The sequence below is a fragment of the Homo sapiens genome, chromosome 3, assembly GCF_000001405.40.
Source record: "Homo sapiens chromosome 3, GRCh38.p14 Primary Assembly".
NCBI classification, from domain to species: domain Eukaryota; kingdom Metazoa; phylum Chordata; class Mammalia; order Primates; family Hominidae; genus Homo; species Homo sapiens.
Window position 1 is genome coordinate 24,488,976 of NC_000003.12, and position 17,097 is coordinate 24,506,072.

General features: G+C 42.1%; 1 protein-coding gene and 1 long non-coding RNA gene across 51 annotated transcripts in view, besides 1 other annotated feature; one reads left to right on the forward strand and one right to left on the reverse strand.

Annotated features, from left to right (window-relative positions):
• The window catches only part of THRB (thyroid hormone receptor beta), a 378,556-nt gene extending 371,823 nt beyond the window's left edge, over positions 1 to 6,733 (reverse strand). For 17 of the 50 annotated variants that reach the window (NM_001354715.2, NM_001354713.2, XM_047448813.1 and 14 more), the window contains exon 1: positions 5,712 to 5,875. The gene's annotated coding sequence lies outside the window, so the exon portion shown is untranslated. Of the gene's footprint in view, positions 1 to 5,248; positions 5,500 to 5,676; positions 5,876 to 6,157 lie in introns of those variants that run through there. The other 33 variants (NM_001354714.2, NM_001374827.1, NM_001354711.2 and 30 more) reach the window with 6 other exon arrangements.
• Positions 5,112 to 11,036, forward strand: THRB-AS1 (THRB antisense RNA 1). Its single transcript, NR_046244.1, has 2 exons — positions 5,112 to 5,516; positions 10,557 to 11,036. It is a non-coding gene; the product is annotated as a THRB antisense RNA 1 (long non-coding RNA).
• Positions 7,653 to 7,858: a silencer, noted in NCBI's record as "fragment chr3:24538119-24538324 (GRCh37/hg19 assembly coordinates)". NCBI's record gives its function as "represses an EF-1alpha promoter that drives an FKBP-Casp9 reporter gene in an ReSE screen in HepG2 liver carcinoma cells {active_cell/tissue: HepG2}" and the evidence as "EXISTENCE:reporter gene assay evidence [ECO:0000049][PMID:32094911]".
• Positions 11,037 to 17,097: the final 6,061 nt, after the last annotated feature.

Below are 17,097 nucleotides of genomic sequence, written 5' to 3' on the forward strand. Positions count from 1 at the left end.
ATTTCAGTGGTGGTTCATGCCTGTAATCCCAGAACTTTGGGAGGCTGAGGTGGGCAGATCACGAGGTCAGGAGATCGAGACCATCCTGGCCAACATGGTGAAACCCTGTCCCTACTAAAATTACAAAAATTAGCTGGGTGTGGTGGCATGTGCCTGTAATTACGGCTAAGGCACAAGAATCCCTTGAACCTAGGAGGTGGAGGTTGCAGTGAGCCGAGGTTGCACCACTGTACTCCAGCCTGGCAACAGAGCAAGACTCTGTCGCAAAAAAAAAATAAGAAAAAAAAAAGATTTAAACCACTATACCAATATCATTTAATTTCTGGTAAGCACTGACCAGCAGACAGTACAAGATTATCACAGATTATCTTCTTGCAAAAGCCTCAAATGCAAGTATTCTGGGTTGCTACAGGTAGATCTGCCTTCTGTGCAAATTTAATGTGTCTGAGCAAGGGAGATGAGCCCTGTTATCAAGCACATCTACATCTATCAGAAACACTTTCCAGGGAGTATATCAGATTGTTAGGACTGACTGTCATGATGGAAAAGCTACAATATGGTTCTCAGGACAGTCAAGGTTCCTAGGTCCTAATTCCAGACTCCCCTGATTTGCTATTTGGAAAAGATCCTGAAGTTCACAGCAGAACTCAGTTTCTCAACTCAATAAAAATAGCACTGCACAAGAGCTGACAGTATATAAAGACTTCAAAGTCCTTTGAAATTAGGACAGTAGGGACCAAACAACATTAGCATTGAGCATAGATCACTATTCTAGCTGTCAGTTGGCCAGGTTCCTGAGAGGAAGATATGGAAATATATTACTTGTGACTCAGTGATTTGGATACTCCCCCCCACTTGTTTAAATGCCAAAATTGACTAACAAGTTTGGGAACTTAAATTGGAGAATGAACATTTTAAATCAGAAGCTCACCGGTCTAAATATATTCAACTCCCCTACTACTTGGATACAAGAGATTCTTGAGTGAATCTCACTGGAATTTACATTAATATACATGGGCTATAGAAATCACAAACAATCACCTCCTCAGATATAAAATAACTATTTTTAGGGGCCATATGAGAGACTCCAACAGGTATACTCATCTCATCACAATGGAGACAATTTCAGAATCCTTTTGTATTAATATGTTGTCTCATAGGTCACTGGGCTGCATGCTGAACTGAAAAATGGCTAGCAGAGCCAGGTACATAGTAGATACATAAATATTTGTAGACTGAATGAGGAATCAAATCAAAGAATCAGAATGACTTTAAATAAAACAAGGAGTTAACTTGCCATCCATTGCTCAACCAGCTTTGACACTAGAACAAGCCCTTCAAGCAAAACAGACAGCTGTGATCTGGACATATGATGCAATGCAGGCAGCAAACGTTCACTCTGGACAAATCCAAGTCCAAATATGACACTTAATACCAACCCAGAAGGGAAAGAGAAGCACTGCCTTTTCTACCCTTCCATTCATTCTTCCAACAGTGTTTCACCTGTGCCCATGTACCAAGCTCTTTGCTAGGCTATGGGGAGTCAAAGATGAATAAACCCACACATCGTGCCTCATCACAACTTAGAGGTGGGAACAGAAATGGAAACAAACTGCCCTGCAGGGTGATAAGAGCTATATAGACTAAAGCCCAAAGCATCAGGGGCCACATATTCAGGGGTGTTTATGGCCATAGGGTCATTTTCAAGTACCTCGTTGTCCTGTCCTCTCAAATTGCTCTAATCAAAAGTTGGCTGACACACTAGATATTTGGGAAAATTAGCTTACAGAGTGTGGTAACCACTCATTCCTCTAGGTTTCCTGAGCTTTATTTCTGCATTGGGATTCATCACCAGAATCTCCACTGATAGGCCATAGTAGCTCAGGCCCCCAACAATAAACATACTGGGTTACTTTTCATTATTATGTCTTCTGCAATTTTTTTCCATTCCAGAGTTGGTAACAAGACAAGATCATATAAAGAACCTCACTTCACTTTATGTAGAATTGAAGTTCAAGTATTATCCATGATATAATTTGATATTTCATACGAGTATATACTAGTTGGCAAGCACCATGGCAGGCACTCTACATGTGTCATCCTTACAAGTTTAATGCATGCCACCTCCAGACCCCCTTTTTTTCTGTTAACTTGGCTACTACTAAGAAGCTCAGAGCCAAATTAAATACTCTAAAGCAGTAAGCACTTAGGATTGTAGTTTAATTATCTTCCCTCCTCTACAAGATTTTGATCTTTCTTCCCCTCCCATTTTTAACAGTCTGATTTTGTGAAATTTTTACTATGCATTTACTCAGCACACTTATGAAAGTCAATACTCTAGACACAAAAACAAATCACCATAATCTTCAATTATAATTTCCTTTTGCTCTCAATTGGCAAGAGTTTCCATGAATAACTAATTTGAAGATGACTCCTTTGATATTATGCTCTGGTCACTTGAAAACTCAAATAATGCAATATTTCCCACCATCATTTGGTTCAGAATACTTTTATGAAGCGGCAAAAGAGGGCAAAAAGAGGCTGGCTGACTTAACTAATAACATATGATAACCATCAGGTTATTTTCAAAGCTATCACCAAGACCTATTTATTTCTATCTTGTGTTGGATCCTGACCATTACATTTTGCCCCCTCACCAACCACCACTTTTGCAGCCCAAATTGTACCACCATGCACTGGTTGGTCCACTTAGGGCTGCCATTGCCAGAGGCACTGCCAGGACCTGCTGAGTGAGAAGACACTGCCATCACCCAGTGAAGTCTAGTCCCTGGAATTTCACTCTTAGCACTGGCAATGCTTCTGGAACTCATAAAGATTCTGCTGAAATTCAGGGAGTTGAAGGTCAATGTCTTCCAGGGATCAAGGTAACATGTCAGAAAAATTCTGCTGCTGAGGATTTCCATGTATTCAAGGCAAATGCCCTTAGGAGGAACTCGCAGAAATAGCTCTTTGCATTGTCACTACACAGAATGGAAGACCAGCTTTTATTTCGAAAAGAAAGAGAGAGAGAGAAAAATAAAGAGTGAACCATATAAGCATGGAATGTGTGCAACACACACATACACATGCACACACAGAATAGATCTTGGCATGCCCAACTGGCACCCACTTAGGATGTGTAGTCAGGTATTTTTGAGAACATAATATTTGGACACAATCATTAATTTATTCACCAAAGAGTTATCCAGCACCTACTGTGTGCCAAGTATTGTTCTAGATGCTGGAAAATAAGAGTGAGTGAGGCAGTCAAGAGTCCTGTGCTCATGGATTCGATATTCTAGGCAAGGATACAGGCGATCAACAAGCATCAATTGAAATGAACAATTCAGATTGCAAATACAATAAAGGAAAGAAAAAGAAGAACAAAACAAACAAACAAAGAGAAAAACCAGTGTGATGGGTCTGAAAAGGAATGAGGGACCGCCTTTGCTCAAGTGGTCAGGGAAGGGCTTTCTAAGAAGGTGACACGTAATCTTACACTAGAATGAGAAGACCAGGGCGAAGAAACCAATCACCTTTACTCTGATTTCCATCAAAAAGATGGGCTTACTAAAAAAAGAAACATGCAATACCATTTGTGGCTCCACACAACTCATGCTTTAAACAACTGCAAAAACCCCAGGAGAGGAAAGGAATCCACAGCTTTCTCTGCTTTTAAGGCGATTTTAAGAAATCACCTTTCCCAAAGATAATGGATTAAAAAGTTGTCTTAATTCATCTCTAATTATGGCAGAATTTACTACAAAGAAACTGAAAGGAGATACATGGAATATTCATTCCTCTACATAATGTCAGTTGCTTTATGTAACAATATTCCAATGTCAATAAAAGTATACCTTTGCATTGTAATGCCAACAGGAATTATTTCACTTTAAAAAACCAGTTCTGTAGCTATACTCAGTATTATTTATTTTTCACTGGCTATAAAATAAAGCCAAACTGTATTTACTAGCAGATGGTCTCACTTCCAATATATAATAAACCTCTGAGATCAGGTAAAAATAGATTCTGTTAGTATTTCTTTAACATGCTCAAATTATAAATGATCGTTCACCAATGTCTTTGTATAAAACACTCCAAACAAATCACTTGGTACTGGATTTCTGTTTGACTCAATTAAAACACTTAGCCACCTGGCATGAAAACATCCTAAAAACATCAACTGCTTAAAATACTTTGCACTGAAACACGTTTTTCATTGTTTCCTAGCCTCTGACTGATTTCGGAATTAGAAAGAATTAAGCAGAAGTGAATTGGGGAGCAGGTCAGTCACTGAATATTCAGAATGAATCATGAACACGTTAAAATGCAATTTTTATTTCTTTGCAGTGCATTGCATGCTATACATTCTTACAATTTAAATAAGCATACTAAACTAAAGCCAAATAATGTGAAGATTGCCCAACAGGTCTACATTACCTAATACATTTATCATTATATAAACTGCTGTGCTTGATATTAATACACTGTGCAAGGAATGCTTAATTTCTTGAACTTCCACACAGGTCTTTAAAACTGAATCTCACTAGTACCCAAGACCAATAATGTGCTGAGGAAGAAGGTATTTCAAATATATTTACTGATTACACAGTGTTTGAATCTTCAAAAATTCTAAATTTATGTGGACAAAGGAGAATGGAGAATCTGAACTTGGCTGTTCATGCAAACTCTTTCCTTTCTTTGACTCACTTTATGAATTGTTATGTTTCTAGATCCTTCTTTTAAAATTTTCCATTTGGGGAAACTTGTACATTTAAAAAAAATTCATCTCATTTTCTCCCTCCCCCTCCTTAAAATAAATAAGAAGGCTTAAGAATTAACACTAATAATAATCCCACAATGGTCATTGGGAAATCCTCCCCCAAAGTGACAACTGCCGCTAAGAAGGGCAAAATCCACTAAGAATGAAAATTCCCCCAAATGAGTCCTTCTCCGAGGGGGTGGAGGTCACACAGTTGGCACAATTGGTATCACAACCAACTCGAGGAGACCCAGAGGAAGATGCTGCGCCAAGAGAAGCAAAGCGAAGGAGCGCGACCCAGGAGGCTAGCGAAATCCCCGCCAAGCCCCCAGGAGGCGGAGAGAAGCCCAGTCGCCAGGCACCGGCCACGGCGCACGCCAACATCCAGGATAATTCTCCTTTCCAAGCCCGGGAGTTCCGGGGCAGGCGAAAAAGGGGGGATGGGAGACCCACAGTCCCTTTAACCCTCCCCCCTGGCCTGCCAACCTTTTCCGAACCCCCATGTCACACAACTTCCTCATCATGGAAACTTCCACTGGGTTCGGCGCTGAGGATGCCAAACTCCATTTCACAAGGAACATGTCAACAGCTGGGCTTGGGGTTTGAGGAACAGAGCCGCTGCGATTGGAACAGAGCCCGGCCACCCTGTTCCACCACTGTCCACTCCGTAGCTCCCAGCCTGCCGCCGCGCGGTGCCCGAACACGAGAGGGCACCTCCTCCCAGATCCGGGGCGCAGAAGCCCCGCGGAGGCAGGTAATCAGGCTGATGACACCCCCACCACCCACGCTCACCCGCCTGCCCGCCCGCGCGCGCTCGGCTTAGCCGCCCGCACCCCTCCGGGTTCTTGCGACGCTCCGTCACCATCCCGCCCACCCTGTGGACAGTTGGAACTGTCGCCCCCTCCTCCTCTCACCCCGCTGCCTCCGCGCGGTCCTCTAGCCAAATTACCAGTGCCCTGGAGCCGGTTGGGTTGAGCGCCCCTGCCCGGGGAAGGTAGCCTGCGGGCTCTTGCCCCGAGCCCGCGGAGCAGGAGGTCTCTTTTCCAAGCGCACTCACATTATTCATGCAAAGTTAATCCCCGCCGCGTCACGGCCGCCCGCCCGAGGATGTGCGCCTTCCTTGGCCAAGCCCCGCAGTCTCCACCCTCCTCCGCCCCCTCCTCCCGGCGGCGGGGTCCCGGGGAGCGCCGGCGACTGGGCGTCGCGCGAGTCCTGCAAAATGTCAACTCCTTGGGCGAAGAGAGGCGGCCGCAGCCAGGGCCGCGCCGCACCTCCCCGGTCTCTCCACTTTTATAGGCGTAGGAAGCTACTGCGGCTGGGGCACCAGAGTCCCCGCCTCTCCGGGTCCCCCGCGTGCCCGGCCCGCCCCGGCCCGCTTCCCGGGCGCTGTCTTACTCCGGGCCCGGGGCGCCTGCTCCGCGCCGCGTCTGCGAACCGGTGACCTGGTTTCCCCTCCAGCCCTCACGGCTGTCCGACTTGCGCGGCGGTGGCGGCGGCGGCCAAGAGCAGGCAAACCCGGCTCCGCCAGGGGCGCAGCGAGGAAATGGCCTCCTGGCGCACACCCCGCCGCCGCCGCCAGCCATCGCCACCGCCCCGGGCTGCCCAGCCGGTACAGACGCCCCCTGCCAGGCTCCGGGCCAGCGCTCCGACGCGCTCACAGCGCCCGGCTTGCCGACCCCGACCCCGACCCCGAGTCCTACGCACTCGAGGTCCCCGGGCCGGCCGCCTCCGCACCTGCCTCCCCAGGTGTGGGCGCTCCCCCTCCTCCTAATCCCGGCCGTGCCCTCCCAGGGTTGGTGACGGTGCTGTGGGTTTGGTGGCCGCGCGTCCACCCACCCGATTGCCTGCGCGCATAGGTGCGGGTTTGGGCGTCATTACTCTAGTTGGAGAAGAGGAAAGAATGGGGAACGAGTGACACCGGGACCGGAGGGCGAGTCTTCCAGGAGCACGTCTCGGCCTTCTTTGCCCGGCCCGACCGGCCCGACCCGTGCCGCAGCGCTCCTCCCTCCGCTCCTAAACCACTTGTGGCGCGTGTCGGGAATACAGGGCGCTCTGGCTCTTCTTGGGGCCTCCGCTGGTCCGACCATCTGGCAGCTCTCTTAACCACCACGGCCACCCCACGAATGGAAGTTTGGGACGTGCCTGGGTTGCCCTTAAGGAGGACACCCCCGCCCCCACCGCCATTATGCATATCGTGGGAGAGGCGCGTACAGGGCTGAGACACTCCTCAGGTCCCAGAACGGCCGCCCTATTAATTTGTCTTTGCCCTGGAAATGTATAGATAAAACCAGGAAGACAAAAATAATGTATACTCTTCAAGAGATCTTTCCCGGGCAAATATAGGTCTCTCAAATGCCCCCGACCTTAAGTCCTGGAGACCAGGAAGAGACTTGCTTTCTGAGCTAGAAGGATACTTGGGAAATACCGAGTCCTCACTCAGCTAAAAGGTAGTCAATAAGGAACTATAGTTGCAACAAAACTACTTTGACAACAGAGTACAATTAATTTCTTATAGACAGTATTAAAATAATTCCGACATCATAATTTAATATTCACATCTATTCGTGTAACACGCAGTATAATAGAGTTATGACGATATGGATCCTCAGCTGCCTGACAATGTATAGGTTATTTATTGGAAGGTTCTCTAGATTTCCAGCCAGTGACATGTATGTTTTATTCTCGCTTCTTCTGAGCGTCCCAGGGAAAGGGGTGAGAGGCCCCCCACCCCTGCTGACAGCATTAACAACCACCCCGCTGGATAAGCAGGGTTTCACTGATGCACTTTTAAGAAAGTTGCAGGCCCCAGAGACCCCATTTCCCTTTGGTCCTCGGTGAGAAGTCCGTGCTTTCTTCTCTACTCTTAATAAGTCTGCACCATAGGACTTGCAGGCTTCTGTAGTTGGAGAGCTGTTCTCCTTTGCAGGGAAGTTCCTGGGCTTTGCTCCAAAGCTGCCCCGGAATGTTTTGGTTGGTTTGGAGAAAAGCTGTGGCGTCTACACCACTTGTTCCAAGCAGGCGGCCCCCTGGTGGCTAACGGGGGGTGAGAAAGCTGGCCACTGAGGAAGAAGTCTGGCGCAGGTAGGCCCCAACAGTTGACAACCTAGTCTTCGGGTCTTCTTCACAGCGTGTGAACAGCTTAGTATTACCGCGGGGGGGCGGGAGGGGGTTGGGGGGTGGTGAGGTGAAGCAAATCTTCCTTCAACACGGTGGATCATGGGCTTCTCGGCCTACTGGAACTTTTAATTTTTTTCTCTTCCTGAGTATAACTTGGAGCTAAATTATTTAAGAAGGAGACATACAGAGGACAAAATGAAATGTAACAAAAACTGTTGCTTCTCTTTGTTCAAGGGCTTTGTCTTTCTGATCTCATTTTGCCCAGAAAATTCAGAAATGAGCCAATTAAAGCATGAAATAAATAAAGGGCGTGGCATTATTCAAACAATCCATGAGACTGTGGTAGTAACAATGTTCTACAACAATGGGGGAGGGCAGTTTTACTGCAATGTTAATGATAACGTGAACTACTAGGGTTCCATTTTGAACAGGACCTCTGAGGGCTGTCCTACAGGCTGCATGATGATGGTAAAGAAGGGTTACCAAGAGATCATGTCATTTATTTTTCTGGTTTTACACAAGGTAGGACAATGGAGGAGAATGTCATGATGACTTGATTGAAGGAAGAACATTTATTCAAACTTTAGATTATGTGGTCATGTGTTCCAGCTGACTTGAGAGGGCACACCAAGGCTGTTTCCAGGACCCATTCCCATATTTCACCATAGACATCCTCATTACCAGGATCTATACCTTTAAGCTGATGACTCAGTTCAAGAAAGCAATTCATTCATATATTTATTTATTTAGCAACTACTGGTGTAAGAAAATGAATGAAACAGAACCTCATAGGGCTCGGATTGGGCAGAAGTGAGTGAGGCCAGTGATACAAGTGCAGGGTCTGAGCCTGCCTTTATTTAAAATTTTGATGTATTGTTCATCATGAATAATTGTTGCATTAATTTTGATTTTTAAAATAGTGCATTAAAATATTTCTCCTGATTTACTGAGGCTTTTTTTTTTTTCTTTTTTGGCATCCCCTTAAATTTCACACCAGGGATGAGTGCCTCACTTGCCTAAACCTAGTCCCTGCCCTGCTATGCCCTCAGTGTTACCAGAGTCTTTTCAGAGAAGCAAAGTTCAAGTTAGAATGTCCTAGATGTCAAAGATAATTAATATATAGTGAAGGATTTGGGGTCAGGGAGTTAGAGACGTGGGCGTGAGGGGAGGGAAAAATCAGGGAAGATTTCATGGAAAATGGTGGCACTTGAACCAATCCATCAAAGATGGACCACATTTTGCCAGGGAGTATTGGGACTGGAACCCCTGGTATTGTTTTGCTTATTCAGCTACTTCTCAAGCTGGCTGTGCAGCCACCTGACCTAGCCCTGGAGATTCTGCTTCTGTCTGTTCATTGTTAGTTCTTGGAACTTATTTTTTCTATGAGGGCTCCAGTGATTCTGGTCCATAGCAGCTGGGTAAGAACTCCAACCCTTCAGGAAAGACAGCTTCTTGGGGAAGATGACAGGGTCAAAATTATCTAATTCAAGTACACTCTAATTCACAGCACAAAACTAACTTTTTTATTTCATATCTTGATATATGCCCGTTTTTACCAACACTCTGCCTTTGGCTTACTTTTGAATAAAGGAGACCAGAAAGGAAAAGGAACTATAGGTTGCCTTATCTTTCTCTTTCCTTCTATGTCATCATTTTCAAACTAAGTGGTTACAGAGAAGTATTAACATAAGAAAAGACAGAGAAAGTTTCCTTGGTTGTTACCTTCTTTTTGCATTCAAATCAGGCTTTGGTTGGAATGGAAAGCGTGGCAAACCCCATTTTGGGGTTGTCAGTGTCCTCACTTAGTCATTGATGTGACATGCTTACCTCATACTCAATTTGAGTTTTGCAGAACTCCCACACATTGTGTGCCCACAGGGATTCTGTGCTTATGGGGCAACAAGAATGCTATGTGTGAGTGGAACAAGTAAAGAATGGCAGCAGCTATGCATGTTATCTGTATTTCCTCTGTTCATGCACATGCTCCATTGTCCCATCAGCCTTCATTTACAAAACAAAAGTTCAAAGATAAAATTATTAGGAATTTCATTACGGTGACAACAGAGCATTAAATGAAGTGCCAGGCCTCAAGCACCAAGCCCTTCCCAGCATGGGTTGTATGCAGCTGTCCAGATCACATGCCCATGAAGCTGGCCATGGGGAAAAAACTTGATCCTTTATTGTGGTAGAAGCATAGGGCATGTTGGAGATGCAGTAGACATGCTGGCATGGCTGGTTATAGCAAGGAGTACATAACATAGCTAACATGTATTAGACATGTATTATGTTTTACGTACTGTCCTAAATATTTCATACATCTTTTAAAGTTTGCCAGAGGACCCTGTGAAACAGTATTATTATGTACTTCATTTTCCAGATGTTAAAAATTAGGAAGATCAAATAATCTGCTCAAGCTCAGGCCTGGGTACTGGGTGACAGAGGGTATACTCTTAACCAGCTCATCATGCTACCTGCATGCAACACAAGGAGTTATTGGATAGGCACATGAGGCTGGAAAAGGTGAGCATGTTCTGGCAGTCATGAGACATCTCTCTAGCCCTTCATTTAAGGAACTACTGTGCACCGGGACGATCAGAAGAGCCCTAAAGAAAACATGTTATGTCATTGGCTAGAAAACTCCCTAATCACATTCTCTTACCTTGTTTTCCAACTACAGGTAGAAGATTCTGAGGCCCTGGGCGGGAACTAGTAAGCCACAATCTGGAAGAGTCTTTTACCACCATGTGGAGGAGAACTAGAGCACTCATGTTGAACTATTACCGAGAAAAGTAATCAACTTCTTTTGTGTTAAGTCACTGAAAGGCAAGTGTTGATTTGTTGCAGTAATTGGTGCTCCCTTAACACACCTGTCAGCCGGGCCAAACTCTATCACAGCATAAATAATCTTTTCCTTAAATAAATACAGGTAAAAGAATAAAGTAGACCTAAATGCATTAATATGAATATAGGCTCAAAGCAAAATGTTGGGCTATAAATGTTCAGAGTGATAATTTTTTAAGTTGATGTGTAATTTAGTACAGTAAAATAGATAAAACCTAAATGTTCAGTTCAATGAATTTTTACATGTTCATGCCCCTGTATAATCACCTCCCAGAACAACATAGAAAATACTTCATATAAATGGAATCATACAGTGTGTTTTCTCTTGTGTCTGGTTTCTTTCACTCAATGTTTTTGAGGTGAATCCACATTATTGTGTGGATTAGAAAGTTGTTCTCTTAAAATTTCTGTTTGACATTACGTTATATGAATATGCCACAATTTGTTTATTCATTCTCCAATTGATGGACATTTGGGTTGTTTCCAATTTGGGACTATGACAAATGAAGCAGCTATGAACATTCTTGAACAATTATTTTTGTGGTACACGCACTCATATCTCCTGGGCATATGCATAGGAGTGAAATTGATGGTCATATATTTATCTGAGTTATTCTATTAAAGCTCAAAATGATCAATATTCAAAACTACCGTTGCCTTATGTAGCAATTACAAGCTCTGCCTGCAGCTGCAAATCATTTTTATGAACTAAGCTACATATTAAAGCCTATGTAAAAATGAAGATGCTGATAAATTAAAGTATATCAAGAAAAAGGTGAATGGCTGAAAGGAAGGTAAGAATACCAAAACATTTCCAGATTAAATCTTACTTTTCAGCTGTTTGAAAGATAGGTTTAAGACATGCTGAGTAATTGCTAATTGGACTGTAATAACCTATGTTCACTGTGAGTGCACAGAAGTACAGTATATTGTTAAATTCTTTGTCAATCACAAAAGAAATCTAGTGGTTCAAGACACATCTTCCCAAAACATGCCAATTCAGTGTCCTTCCTTTTTGAGTTATGCTTATATGCATCAAAAATGGAAATGTAATTGTTAAATATTTGGGGAAAATATCCTTTTTTAAAGGAAGGGAATGAGGTAAATCTTACTCATTTTCATGGAATAAACTTTAATATATCTAGATATAACAACACATATAATAAAATGCTATGATTATGGGCTATTTTCAGATCCTTAAAATCCCTGAATGAGTCATATCTGAAGTGACAGTCATAACTTCAGATTTGCTTGCCTTTGTCAGTTATTTTAAATGAAATTCTCAATTTGAGGGCAAGATGGGTCTTAGTGACACCTCCTATTTTCATATATTATAGCTCTCTTTCACAAATAAACTTGCCTTATCCTGTTTACAAAGTATTGCGTAAAATGCTAGTCATAGCTCCTACAAACACAACTGTAGAACATATTTTGAACTTCTATAAATGATACATTTGAGGCAAACAAATCTACAGCTAGTACAAGAAAGGATTGAGTTTTCATTATGCAGATTTAGAACAAAACCCTGCAATGTAGTTCATGCCAGATAATGAATAACAATAATTTGAGTTCCAGGTTTGCGTCCTTTCTAATCATGTGATTTGAGCATGTTACTTAGCTTCTCTAAGCCTCAGTTTCCACAACTGTAGAAATGAAGAAAACCATTGTACCTACCTGATAGGGATGGTATGAGGAATCTGTGGTAATAGATGGATAATGCTACACACGGTGCCTGGCACACAGTAGGTGGCTCATTAATGTGATCCATCATTATTATTTTGGAAAAATATAATTTATGGTATTTGAAAACACAAAAATGGCAAAGGCAAAATTTTTATCTTGAAAGATACTTTTTTCCTAAATCAATTATTCAATAAATATTTACAAATATTTGTAACAATACAACTGCCTACTACCTGGGCAGACAATTCTAGGCTGTCGAGAGAGAAGAGTGGGCGAGAAAATAAAAATCTTTCACGTTGTGGTGCTTACTTATTGAACAGGATGCAAATTCTTTGAAAGAGAAGGAGCACTCCTATCTTTGGCAAGGATTGAGCACAAACCCAAACACATGGCTGAATTCAGACTTGCAGAAATAATGTCTCTGGAGACAGACTCTTTTGCCCGTCCATGAGTTCAAGCCCTTAACAGTGTTTTTTTGGAGGAAATAACTCAGTTCTTAGAGAGAACTTTTAGTGAATATTTTCCCTGTAGCATTTCCTAACCGCTACTAATCTCTTAAGTTTGAATGCCCTTCTCTAACATCCAGCTTCGAGAATGCCAGGAATATTTTTTTCTTCCAATACAGGAGAAACTATTGTAGAGTCATCTAGAGATTTCCAAATGTTGGATTTGGAGCCAATCTGATTTGAGCCATGCTCATAATTGTGTGCCCTTGCCTTTGTCATTTCTTCCCTGGTTCTCCTGTACACATGCATAAATGCAAGGACCAAGTAATGCCTAAAATCTGTCTCAGCTCTTACATTCTAAAAGTCAGTGCAATTCTACCCCCATTAATGATCAGATAAAGATCTTTATTTTCTGGAGTGCTCCCTATTCCTTCTTAACAATATTTTTGTGTTCATTATTAGCTAAATGAAGACACTTGGGAATGTATGGATTTAAGTTCCATTCCTAAAGGCAGCTTCTTTTGGGAAGGCAGAAAAGCAGCTTTTTTGTTTTTCTGATGATTTTAATGCATTTTTTATTAGGCAGGTAAGTCAAATGACAGGATGATTTTATTCATTAGTTTGGATAAACCACAGCTTGAATTTACCATCACTTTTGCTTTAATTAATTTAAATCAAAATTAATTTAATTTAAAGCAAAAGGTTGACCATCACTTTTGCTTTAATTAATGGCCAGAGGATCTGTAAATTCAGGTCATAAAATGTTCTTTGCTGGTATTTCTTTCAATGATTCCTACTCATTCTTATACCCATTCATGAAATTTGAAATATCATACATAATAAAGTATGATCCTTCATATAAAGACATTTGAGATTTCTGAAGGTGATGATGGACATTTTCTCTAGCTTACTTTTCTTTAACCCCTTTATCTATGACCATAAAAGAAATGATATTGATTCACACTGTTGGATTGATTGACATGAACATGTCCCTGCCAGGAAGTGTCTCACTCTTATCATTTGTATGCCTCCTCCTGGATTCTTCCTCTAGGCCTCAATGTGGTATCTGAAAAAAGGCTCTGTGGCTGCTGAGGTTAGAGGAAACACAGGCAGTGAGAATTGATGTTGAGTCAGTCACATTATTGCCGTAAGATCCATTAGCTAACTTCCTTGTGCCCCAGCTTTTTTTTTTTTTAACCTATAAAATGAAGAGATTCCCCCTTGCTAAGGAGATTAACTAAAATCATAGTTTTAAAATGTTCAGCAAATTGCCTGGATCTTGGGTGATCAGTAAAAATTAGTTTTCCTTTTCTTCTCACAAAGTTTCTTTTCCTTTACTTCTTTCTGAGTAAAGCCATGCAGTTTTATGATTGATGGCAAAAATAAAGTGCACCTAAGAGACAGGCAGAGACCTGAGACCAAATTTCCTCAAGAGAGGCAGTGATGGGAAGATTATGAGCTTGTCTCCAATCCCCTGCTCCATGATTTACCACATACTTGCAAGAGCTTGGGAAAATCAGGTTGCCTATCCAAAGAAAGACCACGTGAAGAGAAACAAAAAGAAATGTTTGCTGAGTGTTCATTTCTCTGAGTCTGTTTTCTCATCTGTAGTATGGGTAGATAGTTTCTGTCTTTCCTGCATGAGGAAATTATATTATGAAGATCTAATGAGGTAAAGAATGTGAAAAACATCTCCCAAATGTAGACATTCTAAAAAACATAATCCATTTTTATCTGGGAAAACCCACAAATACAAAAGGAGCGACATTGAAATAATGTGTCTTAACCTGAAAAATCACAGATCCTCCTACAAACCAGAAGCAAGACTGTGAATTTAAGTTACACCAGTTTTGGTGTCAGAATCGAAACCAGTAGACCTCAACAAGTGAAATGTGACAGATGAGCAGTTTCCTCTTATGAGTTTTGGCCACTAACTTAACCCAAATTCCTTAATTCTCAAAGTTCCCTTTTAAGAAAAAAGAAAAAAAAACTGTTTCTAAATGTGAGTCAGGAAAATAATTCAGCTGAAAGCTGGACCCTGGACCCTAGTAGGTGCTATAAGCCATAACTCATGAAAGATAGTCACTCATAATTCATGCTGTAATGGGTGACAAGGACTATGGCTCGCTAACATAGCAATGGGTATTAAGAAAACCAGTCCTTGCTATTCCTCCAGCACAAGTTCAATTCTGCCTCAGGACCTTTGCACACACTGTGCTCTCTACTGTAGCTGTCTTCCCAGGTTCTCACGTGGCTTCTCCCTCACTTCAGTGAGGTCTCTGATGATCAGAGAGGCCTTACCTTACCATTTTATCCAATAGAACAACCTCTTATCATTCTTTAGCCCACTGGTTATCCAAACATGGTCCTCCCTCTAGCAGTATCAGCATCACCTGGGAATTTGTTTGAAATGAAAATTCTAATTCCCTACTTAAGAACACTGAATCAGAAACCTTGGGGGATGGGGCCTAGAAATCTGGATTTTAACAAATCTTCCATGTGATTCTGATGCAAGCTGAAGTTTAAGAACCACTACTTTAGCCCTTTACTCTGTTTTACTACACAGTCCTTATTACCAGCTGACATTATATTAGCTATTTGTTTCTTCTCAGATTTATTGTCCAGCTCTACTGCTGGAATACAAGCTCTGTATTGGAGCTTAATTATGAGAGGGTATGTAGAGTCACTATATTAAAGACTATATTAGAGGATAAAGACTTGTTCATTAAGGTATCCCTAACACTCTTCAAAATAGTACCTGGCATAATGGTGGCCCTCAAAAAGGATTTTGAGCTGAATTAATGATTTGCCACTGCAGCATTGATACAGCCCATCAGAAACAAAATATAATGCAGAACATGAGTATCGATGCAGCATCTAAATTTCTATCTAGGTGACAGGAACAGATGACCTAGAAGGCTTTCAGGGCAGAAATTCTATTTTTCATTTTATCAAATTTTACCAAGTTAGATTTGTTAAAGGTCCTGCAGTTTGCAAATGCTACACTTAGGGCCAGGACCCAAATCTCCAAGTTCTTGTACAGACCATTTACCATTATATTCAGAGTAGGGTTTCAGCAATGACTATAATGTTAAGAGCATGATGCCAAGAGGTCATGACATCATGGAAAAATGATGTCACATACTGACAAGTTGGGGCTTACCTTCATTTGATGTCACAAACATAGGGAAAAACAGACTGTGGCCAAATTATACAGTGTATATGTGCATAGAACAATTGTGCAGGGTGTAGTCATCTTATCACAGAAAAGGGAAGGACACATGCTTTGATAATCTCAGTACAGTTGAGAGTCAATACACCTTGAGTTGGTAGTTTGGGAAAGATGGGGCTTTAACATATTTTCAGCAGTTTTGTATGTGTGTGTGTGTGTGTGTGTGTGTGTGTGTGTGTTTATTTACTTTGTGGATTCTTATTATCTTTAATTTGCTAATTTGTTTTGCAAATCTCTAAGTTGAAAATGCTTTAGAATGCAGTGATTCCCAAGCTTTGGATCAGAAAGTCCCTTTTTATACCTTAAACATCCTTAGGAAACTAGTGAGTTCCACAGACACTGCTGAACTCACACAATTTATAGACATTTGACTTGCCTCCTTGAGAAAACAGGCAGTAATATGCTATCTGTGACTGTTACCAGTTAGCTTTTGCTGCATAACAAAACCACTCCAAAAATTAGTAGCTTAAAATGGAAATCACTTGTTTTTCATGAATCTGTAAGTGAGCTAGACAGTTCATTAATTTGAGATTGGAAAATCTATGGTCATCTCACTTACATGTCTGGTAGTTGGCAGACCGGTCAGCCTTGGGGGCCCTCAGCTGGAATAGATCAGCTTTTTTCCTCATTGTCTTTTATCTTCCAGCAGAGTAGTCAGGGATTCTTCACACAGTGGCCTCAGGGCCCAAATATCAGCAAGAGAGTGAGCTCTAAAGAAAATGTACTATTCAAGTCTCTGCTTATGTCACATTTACTAAAGTTCTATTGGCTGAAGCAAGCCACATGTAGAATGTCCAGCTTCAAGAGAAGGAAAGATAGGCTCCACCTCTTCAGGGAAAGATCTGCAACGTCATGTTGCTAGGATATGTTTAGAGGCAGAAGCCAAACATCTGGCTTGAGAAGTTTAAATGAGAGCAACCATAGGCCCCTTTTATTCCTCTCTTGGAATTGAGTAACATCTTCAAGGGGGTTCTCGACTGTCGCTGGTTCTTTGCTCAGCTTAAGGGATTCATCAC